At 47.9% G+C, this 12,320-nt stretch overlaps 1 protein-coding gene across 9 annotated transcripts in view, besides 1 other annotated feature; it reads right to left on the reverse strand.

The window, feature by feature from the left end:
• Positions 1-12,320, reverse strand: part of ATP10A (ATPase phospholipid transporting 10A (putative)) — a 192,852-nt gene that overhangs the window by 90,524 nt on the left and 90,008 nt on the right. The gene's annotated exons all lie outside the window — the stretch shown is intronic.
• Positions 7,012-7,513: an enhancer, noted in NCBI's record as "H3K4me1 hESC enhancer chr15:26014919-26015420 (GRCh37/hg19 assembly coordinates)". NCBI's record gives its function as "activates a minimal SCP1, AML or CMV promoter by ChIP-STARR-seq in naive H9 embryonic stem cells {active_cell/tissue: H9 hESC(naive)}" and the evidence as "EXISTENCE:reporter gene assay evidence [ECO:0000049][PMID:30033119]".

The following is a 12,320-nucleotide window of genomic DNA, read 5'->3' on the forward strand; positions in this document are numbered from 1 at the left end:
GTAGAGACAAGGTTTTGCTACGTTGCCCAGGCTGGTCTCCAACTCCTGGCCTCAAGTGATCCTCCCACCTCGGCCTCCCAAAACTTTGGGATTACAGGCATGAGCCTGGCCAAATTATACATTTTAAATATGTGTGGTTTATTTTATGTCAGTCAGACCTCAATAAGGCTGTTTAAAAAACGAAAGGGCAGCTAAAGTTTTCAACCGATAATTAACAATGTGTTTTTTTCAAGTGACACACATTTTCCCAAACTTTTGGTTTTTTGAAAGACTCTTACTGAGCAGCTAAAAACAACCAGTTAATGAACTGCCTGTCTTTAAGAAACTACTGTCATCTGACTTATCCAAGGCTATTTTCAACTTAGGGAAAGGGAAGCTTATTTTTGTAAGAAAATAATTGCTCCTCCACCTGCACTCAATTCATTCTCGAGCAAAATTAACCTGCTGAGAATAAGGGTGTTATTTTACGTGCCTAAATTGCTTGCCCATGGAATTCTTGAAATAAATTATTTTCACTGGGACTGGGCATCCTTTTAATTCTAGATCACTAATTTAACATCCGCTCATCTGTTGGTCTTGAATATCAGCAACCAGTGAGTCCGACTCATCCCAAACGACAGCAGATGGCCAGGCTCCTCCCCCTGCATCCAGACTCACTTCCTCCTGGTGAAGTTGGCTCTCCAGCATCCCTTCCAGTACTGGGCTCCCAGAAGGATGCCTCTGAGAGGCTTCCACGCACATGAGTGTTAATTTCATGTGTCAACTTGAGTGGGCCACAGGGTGCCCGGATTAAAGATTGTTTCTGTGAATGTCTGTCCTCTGTCATTATTTGGAAAAGCTGGAGGAACACAGGCTGCAGATTAATGAAGACCAGGACACAGCAAGACACTGATTCTGCAGCACCTGCTGTAAAATGATTCACTCCAGGAAGCACAGGATCAGTGCAAATAAGTGCTGTTAATAATTAACTACTTTGCAGATGAGAGCTGGCCAGTTATAAGCTCCTCCCCTGTGGATCAATCAATAAGCAATGGAAATAAAGCATCCCTAAAATTATATCTATAGGAGAACACCGTTTCATTTTATTTTATTTAGAGCTTTTCAAAAGTACATTTTTTTGTAAAAGATAACCTCTCTGTGTCTTCTTTTAAGTGCTTGATTAGTGAAGTATGAAAATATCAACTATGTCAGGAAAGCAAGATCACAGAAGCGGATTATCCCACTTGCATGCAAAACCAAGGACAACAATTAGAGAAGAATATGCCTCATTATGTCCAGGTGACACCCATGCAATGCAGGGCTTCTCAGTCTCCAATGGGCACATGAATCCCCCAGGATCTTGTCAAAATGCAGATCCTTGCCTCAGTGGATCTGGGCAGGGCCTGGGACTCTGCATTTCTTCAAGGCACCGAGTGAGGCTGATGCTGTTATTCCACTGACCCGACAAAGACTTACGAAAATGAGGAATCCTGGGCAAAGAGCTTTCCAACCTAAGGTGCACCGTGCAGCGCGGGCTTCCAGGACTCAGGATGTTCCCTGCTACAGATGGCAGGTTTGAGTCCCCCAAAATGTATATGTTAAAACTTAGCCCTTAGAATGTATGTGTTTGAGTCCCCCATGTATATGTTAAAACCTAGTCCTTAATTTGATGGTATTTGAAGGTGGGTCCTTGGGAGGTGATTAGGGCATGAGGGTGGAGCCTCACGAGTGGGATTAGTGCCCTTCTAAGAAGAGACACTCACTCGAAGTTCTGCCTCTCTCTCTCTCTCCACCATGTGAGGACACAGAGTGAAGGTGGCTGTCTGCAGGCCGGGAAGAGGGCCCTTGCCAGACGCCAGATCTACTGGCGCCTCAATCTTGTATTCCCAGCTTCCAGAACTGTCAGAAATAAATGTCTATTATTTATACGTGACCCAGTCTGTGGTCATTTCATTACAGTATTAGGAACAGACCAAGATATTCCCTTTCCAACAATCTGAGCTATCCTTCACTTCTTCCCATCACCTGAAATACAAAGGGTTATCACTCAGCCTATGATGCTAGAAACCGCAGACGCTCTACCTTCGGGTTTAGGAGTGCCATGAGCTAAAAGCTCCGGCCTGCTAATGGCAGAGGGTAATTGTGGCTTCCATGACTGGGTTCAGGAAATGAGTGCCACTGGGGACCTGTGACTGCAGGGAAAGGTAAGGAAATGCACTTCATTCTATTAAACCTCCCGGCTGAAGCGTTTGTCTGTGGAATGCTAGTGAGGATGCAGGACACACATTAAACAGCATCAAGACTTGCTTCTAGACGATTTTCTCCTTGAAGCCTAGACTTTAAACAGCCCTGATGTTTCAGGTGAAGGATCTCTGGGGAGCACCAGCAGCCCTGTGGAGCCCTCATGATGAAGTCAGCACAACACAGGGGGGCGGGGCGGGGGTGTTGTGTCTGCCTGGCACAGCCTGGTGGCTTCGTGGAGAGACAATGTTTAACAGCCAGTAGCATAGTAATCCAATATTCTCCACTCCTCTATAGAATACCTGCCAATAATGACAACATGTGAACAAAGAATTCCCCTTCAGCATCAGAACTTTCCATTAGAAACACGTCTACCTGCTCCTGTCTTTGATATCTCAGAAGCCCTCCAGAACATTCAGCGTGTCCAACTTGCTCTGGTTTTCTGGCACCAAGAAAGCTCAGGTTAAAGTCAGAGACTTAGCGTTCCCACCCACATTCCAGAATTCTGCCCGTGTAGAGCCTCTAATGATATCACATCCCTCACCGCGGCACTACAGCTGTCCTGCTCTCATGTGCAGGTAAGCGGTCACTCCTGAAGTCCTGGGCAAGGAAAAGATCATTGAGACGCAGCTTCCTCCTTCCCAGAGCTCGGGCTGGAAGCTCCCAGCCCTGGACAGCCAATTCTCATCTAATACCCAAACTCTCCAGCCTCACCTTAATTCTTCCAGCTCTGTGGATTAGACAGAGGTATTGTATTCATGATCAAGTTCTTCTCACAGAGACGCAAACCCTTTTCTCTATAACTTCACTCCTGGTGCCGGTCTCACCTTTCCTCCAGTAGCCTGCCTTTCAATGACAGCAGCAGCAGGGCAGTGCTGAGGGCGGCCACCCTTCTGAGCACTCACCACCTGCCAGGTGCAGTGCAAAGGACAGGCCAGAAGGACCTCTGACATCATTCCCATTTTGCAGATGTATCAGTCCGTTTTCACATTGCTAATAAAGACATACCCAAAACTGGGAACAAAAAGAGATTTAATTGGACTTACAGTTCCACATAGCTGGGGAGGCTTCAGAGTCATGGTGCAAGGTGAAAGGCACTTCTTACATGGTGGCGGCAAGACAAAAATTAGGAAGAAACAAAAGTGGAAACCCCTCATAAACCCATCAGGTCTAGTGAGACTTATTCACTGTCACGAGAATAGCACAAGAAAGACCAGACTCCATGATTCAGTTACCTCCCCCTGGTTCCCACAACATGTGGGAATTCCGGGAGATACAATTCAAGTTGAGATTTGGGTGGGGACAAACCATATCAGCAGATACTGAAACTGAGGCCCAGAGAGGTCAAATGATGTTCTTGGATTACAAGCTAGCAAATGTAGGAGGCAGACCCCAAAGCTCACTCTCCATGCCATGCTGTAGCCTGCCTGTATAATCAAGTGTCTCACTGTGCTGTGGTCAGGCCCTCAGACCCAACATCCTCAAGCCCCCAAATGCTCCACCAGCATCTCCCTCCCCAGGCCCAGCCCAGCAGCCCACACCCCTCCTGAAATAGGGCTTCCCTCTGAGCCAGCAGAAGAAGTGAGGAGGGCAGGAAGCTCCACCAGCCTCTATTGTAATTGGATCTTCCTGCTGGCAGTTCTCGGTGACAAGAAAGGGCCAGGTGGTGCTTACATGCACTGAGGAACCACACGCTCAAACACTGCCTCCAGGCCCCAACCCAGCCGCTTCCATCCCAGCACCCTGAGCTCAGTGTCTGTGCCGCCTGCAAGCGCTCCTCGGGCCTCAGCAAAACATCCTAGAACACAGCTAGGTGCCACGGGGACTAGAGCTGCAGCTTGAGAAGGCACCAGTCCCAAAAAACTCCCGAAAAATACTCTAATCGGGGTTTTGTCCATACTTTAAACTAGTGGAACTGTTTCTAAAAAAAAAAAAAAAAAAACTTTAATGGGCCCCATATAACTTAATACATGGACATTCACAGGCAGACATATACACATACACACACTTTGCCCTGCCTGGTTTCTTGGCATCAGCAATTTCTTTGAAGAGGGCTGCTCCGCTACGTAGCACATTACAGTCAGATGTGTGGGCAGCAATCAAATTCCCTTCTGCCTGTTCTGGTCTAGAGAGCCATTCCCTAACTTTACCATGGTATTCACAGGTGACACTCACCGCTGCAGGCCTTTCAGCCTGAGAGTGCCAAGGTTAGAACTGCAATTTTGGTGCATCATTCTGGCAGGTGCTGCAGCAGAACGTAGGGCTTCCTGCAGAGAGGAGATGGGTGGACACGCTGTGGCACCCCTGAGACGGTGAAGGGGGTGCCATGCAAGGCTGCTGTCACCAGGAAGCAGAGGATGGATGGAGGCTGCGCCACATCCCGGACAGCGAGTCTGCTGGGAGACCTGGATGAACCAGGGCTCAGGCAGAGAGGCATGGGGTTGGGGAGTGCTGTAAGAACAGGATCTGGAGCCCAATGTTGGGTTTGCAGCACAGCCCCTCCTCTGACTGGCTGCATAGTAGGGTGAGCCCATTGACCTGTCCAGACCTGGATCCCTTTATTTGTAAAATAGGGAAGCAACTGTACTTATCTCAGCGTGGTGGTTCTTAGTGCAGAAGAGCCTGGAGCACCCCAGTGCCTGGCCCACCCCACATGAGGGGAGTCAGAATGCAGGGGTGAGCCCAGGCCTTTGGGACTTCTAAAGCTCCTCAGGGGAATCCCACCTCGGCCAATGAGACACTAAGAGGCTAAAAACTAATGCGTGCTAGCTGCCTGTGCTAAGTGCTGGCAGATGTTCTCTGCAGCCACTGCAGTGAGCAAGGACCCAGCCGCTGTCACCTCGCTGAAGTACTGTGCTGTAGACAGAGGTAGGTGTGCTCACTGGAGTATGGGACCCTTGCGGGCCCTCTGTCTGAGACGCATCTAACATGCCAACCTGGATGGGTGCATGGGCAGGCACTGGGCATCCCTGACCTGGGAGACACTGGGGTGAACATGGGGCCAAGGGGGTCCAACGGGCGCACCAGGGCTGGCTCCCAAAGTCCCCTCACCCCTGTGAGGCTGGTTCCTGGACTTGCACGTGCAGAATCTACAGGACTTGGCAGCTGGTTCTCTGCACTGGATGAGGGACAGCCAGGTCAGAGGGAACCCCAAGTGCTGGGCCGGCATGACGAGGAAACCGCTGGACCCTTCACAGGACACAGCACGCGAGCAGCTGCGATGGAGGGAGGGTCAGTGGCTTGGGCCTCCAGAGCTGTGGGCTGGTGAGCGGCAGGGGCTCCTGGGCCACTGCTCCTGTCACTGTGGCTCACAGTCATTACTGTGGACTTTCTGTGAAAGATGTAATCTGAGAAAAAATGGCATTGTCTGTTTAAAAGAAAAGCAGTGCTTCCTGATTCCTTCTACTTGCAAGTGTGGACTGAGAGGCAAAGCTCCTGGCTGGGCACCTGGACTCCCATCCTGTCCACCCCAAGTGCTTCAACCCCAGACCCAGGTCCAGGTCCAGGTCCCGCCTTGTGTTTCCAATTTCTAATTGACTCTCAGCAGAGCTCTCTCTCTCTTTTTTTTTTTTTTTTCTTTTGAGACAGGGTATCACTCTGTCATTCAGGCTGGGGTGCAATGGCACAATCTAGGCTTACTGCAACCTTAACTTCCCAGGCTCAAGCAATCCTCCCACCTCACCTGCCCAAGTAGCTGGGCTAATTTTTTTTTTTTTTTTTTTTTTTTTGGTAGCAATAGGGTCTCAATTTGTTGCTCAGGTTGGTCTCAAACTCCTGGGTTTATGTGGCCCTCCCACCTTGGCCTCCCAAAGTGCTGGGATTCCAGGTGTAAACCACCATGCCTGGTAGAGCCCTCTTTTCACTACTGGTGTAAAACAAGTCTGGATTACTTTTATAATGTTAAACAAGCAGGGAACAGGAAAAACACTACGTATTGCTTCCGTAGAAATTATGTCTTCCTTGAAGGAAATGCTAAGAACTTTTAAAGGAGAGTTTAGTTAAGGGTTGAAAGGTTTTCCCTCACTATTTCTAAGGGAAATGTTTAATAGAATTTCTGTCCTGACATTGCTTATTAGTGCCTTGACTCTCACACACACATGCATGCACACGCGCTCCAATACTGAAACACACTCTAATCAGATTTTCGAAGTCTGCCCCATAGTAAAATCCTAATTCCTTTTGATCCACTGTTATCCACAGAGCTTTTACTTTTACATGCATATAGGCTGGGCATGGTGGCTTACACCTGTAATCCCAGCACTTTGGGAGGCTGAGGCGGATGGATCATGAGGTCAGGAGTTCAAGACCACCCTGGCCAACATGGTGAAACCCTGTCTCTACTAAAAATACAAAAAAATTAGCCGGGGGTGGTGGCGGGCGTCTGTAATCCCAGCTACTCGGGAGGCTGAGGCAGAGAATTGCTTGAACCTGGGGGGGCGGAGGTTACAGTGAGCCGAGATGGCACCACTGCACTCCAGCCTGGGTGACAGAGGGAGACTCTGTCTCAAAAAAAAAAAAAAAAAAAAAAAAAAAGACATGCATATACTAACCATAACCATCAGCTTCCTAGAACACTGCAGCCAGCCGGGGAAGTGGCCATCCTACCCGGGTGCCTCAGCCTTCAGCTAACTTTCTGGAACTGCAGTTTCTAGCTGTAGGTTCATCATGAGAAAGCATTTCCTCTTCCTGACAGTGGAGAGAATTGGGATGCAGTGAAATGGATTGATCTGAGGTGATCAGCATGGTGATGCCACCATCCAGGAATGGCGGTTACTTTCACTCCGAACCTGCACTGTGAGGGGTTGAATTCTACCTTCCCCAGATTCATGCGTTCAAATCCTAACCCTGGATACCTCAGACTGTGCCCTTATTTGAAGACAGTTTTTAAAGAGGTAATAAGGGTTAAATGAGGTGACTGAGATGGACCCTGATCCAACAGGACTGGTGTCCTTAAAGAAGAGATCAGAACACAGACATACACAGAGGGACGACCACCTGCAAGCCCAGGAGAGAGGCCTCAAGTAAACCAACTCTGTCGGCACCTTGATCTCAGACTTCCAGACTCCGGAACTGTGAGAAAATAAATTTCTGCAGTTTAAGCCGCCCAATTCATGGCACCTTGTTATGGCAGCCCAAGCCAACTACGAGGTGAGCATTTAAAACACGACCCGGGCGAGGTGGGGAGGGGCCCCACCCATGTTTTCAGCCATCACAACACGACCCGGGCGAGGTGGGGAGGGGCCCCACCCATGTTTTCAGCCATTCCAGACTTGACCACAGTTGGGGATCGGCCCAGCCCAGCCCAATCAGCCTGAGCAGCGACAGCAATGGTGACGCTGCTCTGCAGAGATGGCCCTGAGGGGCTTCACGGCCAGGCCCTGCGCCCCAACTGTTGGCCCAGAACCTGGCCCACCACTCACTTGGACCCCAGCAGGCCAAGGGGCTGACTCCCTCTGAGTCTCAGTGGCTCCTTTGCTAAATGGGAGTAATAACAGCACCTTCTCAGAGCTGCCAAGAGAACTAAATGAATGAGGGCCTCACACAGGCAAGTGCCCAGTGTCAGATGGCACTGTTACCCAGCCAGGAGAAGGGAGTAGTGGGGGTAGTCACTCTCACCAGAGGGTTGCAAAGGAAAATAATAAATCTCAGGACCCCCAAACTTAGGCCCAGAGGTGGAGCCAGGCAACACCCTGTTCCAGATGAACCGCTCTCACTGGCATTACTCATCATCCAACGCCCCAGGGACAGGCAAGAGGCCTACAGCATCTCTGCAGGGCTGCCCTGCAGGGCAAATGCACCTGACAGCAATACCTCAAGCCTGCCCTGAGGATGACTCTGCATGGCAGATGTGCCTGAGTATGTGTGCTGAGCTAGGACATCTGGGCGTGGCCAACCCAGAGATTTGTTCTTTGTCTATGATAAACATCTGAGCTCCCACCTGTCCTGTGGAACTCGGGTCGCACAGGGGATTGAGGCCCTGAATTTTGGGTTAAATGAAGGCTTCCAGGTAGAGGTCGTTCAGGGGAGGGTGTTAAGTGAAAATGCTGTAGAAAGTGCATGCTGTTTATAAGCGGTAGTGGTTTTCCTTTTCAGCCCGCCACCACCAGACTCTCTCCCCTCTGTGTAAGCCCCTAATCAAACCCCGTGTTGCAAGTGCTGGCTCTGGGTCTCTTCTTCGGCCTCTTGGACTTGTGCCTTCCCCACTGAGGTTAACAGGGGTGCAGCACAACATGCCCCCCGGGATCACTCATGAGGACATTGTTTGCTGGCCACCCATAAACAAGGACATGCCAATCATAACACAAAGAGCCCGGCACGGCAGCTCACGCCTATAATCTCAGCACTTTGAGAGGCTAATGTAGGAGGACTGCTTGAGCCCAGGAGTTCAAGAGAAACCTGAGCAACATAGTGAGACCTTCCTATCTCTATAAAAAATAAAAAGAAAAACATTAGGTCTGCGATCTAAGTCTAGCTTCTAAAACTAAAGTCTGTTGGATTCCACATTAATAATGTCCACTAGAGGCTTATCTTCCCAGCTACAGAACAAAGACAAGACTCCTCCCTCCACCCACCCAGAGATGTCTGCATAATTGACTCTGTGCTTTTTCTCTTCACACATTGACTTTGTCTGATGTAAAAATGTGGATTTACTGGACACCAACTGAAGTCTCACAGGAAAGTGACCATTCCCTGGCTGCCTACCTGCCCCTCTTCCTGTGTGCCTCCTCCTCCTTTAAGGAAATGTATGAATACTACACCTCCTGAAAGCCACCTTTTTTTTTTTTTTGAGACAGAGTCTTACTCTGTTACCCAGGCTGGAGTGCAGTGGCATGATCTCGGCTCACTGCAACCACCTCTGCCTCCTGGATTCAAGCTATTCTCCTGCCTCAGCCTCCCAAGGAGCTGGAATTACAGGCGCCCACCACCACGCCTGGATAATTTTTGTATTTTAGTAGAGACGGGGTTTCACCATGTGGGCCAGGCTGGTCTTGAACTCCTGATCTCAGGTGATCCACCTGCCTCAGCCTCCCAAAGTGCTGGGATGACAGGTGTGAGCCATCGCGCCCGGCCTGAAAACCTCTTCAGAAATCAGTCTGTGATTCCTATTTTACCGGGACACATCCTAAAGCTGGCTTAACAAACCTCAATTGATTGATACTTCTGCCTCAGTCACTCATTTCAGTCATCAAGGGTTACTAGCTTTCTGAACACTGACTCAGAGCCACCCCAATTCCAGGTTCTGGGCTGTGGCTGAATCTCTGGTCCATAGGAGATTTGCAGAAAAGGTAGGGCTCTCTCCTCCGAACGTCCCCCACCCACCCACCAGGCCCTGACGTCTCTGATGCTTGCGGCAGTCTGATCTCAGCTTCAGAACCCGACTTTGCACCCAAAACCTTTCCCTGCCCACTTTTAGCTTTAAAACAACACTCAAAATCCCCGAGAGGGGTTTCCGTGGCCCACGCAGGCTCACTGGGCCGAGATGGAGATGTCAACCTCAGAGTCTGTCCTCGCAGAATTTCCTGTCTGGTGGTCAAGAATCCAGAATGCTTGATAAAGGCCGGATGAGCAAACCAGCTATTTGAAGTTTTGTCCAAAACAAACCTACATCCATAATGCTTTGAAGTTGGCCTTCTTTACCACACAAATGAAAGGGCTTGTTTCTCGCCAAGGGCTGGTGCCAGTGCGGCAAAGGTCAGTTGTGACAGGTGAGTGGAACGACCCTGAAGATCTGGCACAATTCCTAACCTATGAACACCCCGGCATGCACCCAATCCCCCACTCTCCGGAACCCCAGGGAAGACAGCGTGGCCAGCAATGACACTCACATTTCTTGTCCTTTTACAGTTTTGGGAGGCGGGGAACATAAGGCCTTCTGACAGACACACTACTGAAAAGGGCTTTGTGAAAACTGACAAATTGAAGAAGTTTGCAGGCCTGATCTCAGCTTGGTTAAAAGTCTCACTGGGGTTCACGAAGTCATTTCCTTGGCACACGGATTATTCATTAGCAATGGTGAAAAAGCCCTGAATTAATTTCGACACTAAACCCAACTGAGATGTCAGGAAGCCCAGTTTCATCCACATCCCAGTAGGCAATAGTGTTTCCTGAAGTCGAGTTCTTGCTTTCCTTAAAGGTCGATTCCTTTATAAGGTCTGGTTTATGTGACTATATGAAACTGCAAATGTGTTCATGGATCTCTGCTGCTGTAGACGGGCGAAACTCTAAGGAAGCCCTAATACCACAGTGAGAACCAAAATACAGCCTTCCACTTGAGGAGCACTCGCAAACCGAAAGCATTGCATAGGTTGAACGAGGGAAGCTGGCTCTTACCAATTCACAAAATTAAGATAACTCCAATGTCTGCGGAGGTGCTCTGACAGGTCTTGCATTGTGCTCTGTGGACACAAGGAAGTTCCCTCTTGTTGAAAGCTGTGCTCACAAAACAAGCAGAAGGGAAATGACACACAGCACAGGGCCTCCACCAAGGGACAAAGGTTCCAGAGTCCAATCAGCAGAAGTGGATTGCGTGGGCACCCCTCACGTAATGCATGGGCTCACAGCAGGTCCTCAATAGTGAGATTGGAAACTCCAGATTCCCCTAGGGAGCACTCTCTTGCAGAGCAATCCACTTCTGCAACACTATATCTTAGCCCAGGAGGGAACATTTATCCTCTCCTAAATTTAGAGATAATAGAAAGTGACAACCTAATAAAGCAATATCACTTCATTTTGCTTTCTTCTTTGGAACATACACTTACTTGCACACTCACTTGCAAAAATGTTTGCACTCACACCTGTCTGCATACACACTCACACAAACATACACACCTAAACATCCACACACACACACACACACACACACACACACACATATTCACTCACTCATGAGGAGATGCCTAGTGTTAACTGCGTCGATCTCACATTGTCACCTCTTCCTACTGGTAAGGAAATCCCTGCTCCAGAAACACACATACACACAGAGGAAGTTTCAAACCCTTTGCAACTGCTGATGCAATTAAACTACATTTAGGAAAATTGGAAATTTTATTAAATTCCCGTTTTTTTTTTTAAACAGTGAAAATATAGTTAAAGAGAAAAAAAGCATTTCACATTGTACGCTACCTTGAACAGAATTAAAACATCTTACTGCTTTGGCTGTCTTTTTACTTCTGGAATAAGAAATGATCATTTCCAACCACACAAAAAATTTTAAGTTTCCACACAATATAAGAAGATCTTTTTGGATAAATATTTCAGACTAGCCAAATTATTATCAACTTCATGGCATTAATTTATTCATTTAGATCAGAGGTTCGGGTGCGGTAGCTCACACTGGTAATGCCAGCACTTTGGGAGGCCAAGATGAGTGGATCACCTGAGGTCCAGAGTTCAAGACCAGCCTGACCAAGACGGAGAAACCCCGTCTCTACTAAAAATACAAAATTAGCCGGGAGTGGTGGCACATGCCTGTAATCCCAGCTACTTGGGAGGCTGAGGCAGGAGAATCACTTGAACCCGGGAGGCAGAGAGGTTGCAGTGAGCCGAGATAGTGCCATTGCACTCCAGCCTGGGCAACAAGAGCAAAACTCCGTCTCAAAAAGAAAAAAAAAAAAAAAAGATCAGAGTGCTGGTGCTGCACTCTCTGTACATGGTGATTTAATAGACTATAAATTAAAGGCAAAGAATCCATTATGAAGTCACCAGAATTTAAAAAAAAAATCTTCTTCGGGCCAAACTTATATTGCCATGAAATAAACACAGTTAATATGAAAAAACATGGTATGTCTCAAATAATCATATTACCTACAGAACTGAATTTCTATGAATATCCACACTTGTTAGAATTAAAAATTTAATCTAAATAAAGTTATTGTATTGTCAAAGTCATTTATTTCTGTCTTTCCTGTTACAGATTTAATGTCCTTCAAGAAAATTATGAGATTGTTAAATTTAAAAACAAAAATGTCTCAGTATAAATTATGAGCTTGTTGACTATCCTTGAATGTATAAGAGAAAAACATGGAAGCCTCTTTGTAAAGGCTTAAAACTGACCGATCTAATTACCATACCCAGGCAGCTGTCTTTATTTTCCACTTAGA

Source organism: Homo sapiens, chromosome 15, assembly GCF_000001405.40.
Source record: "Homo sapiens chromosome 15, GRCh38.p14 Primary Assembly".
Taxonomy (NCBI): domain Eukaryota; kingdom Metazoa; phylum Chordata; class Mammalia; order Primates; family Hominidae; genus Homo; species Homo sapiens.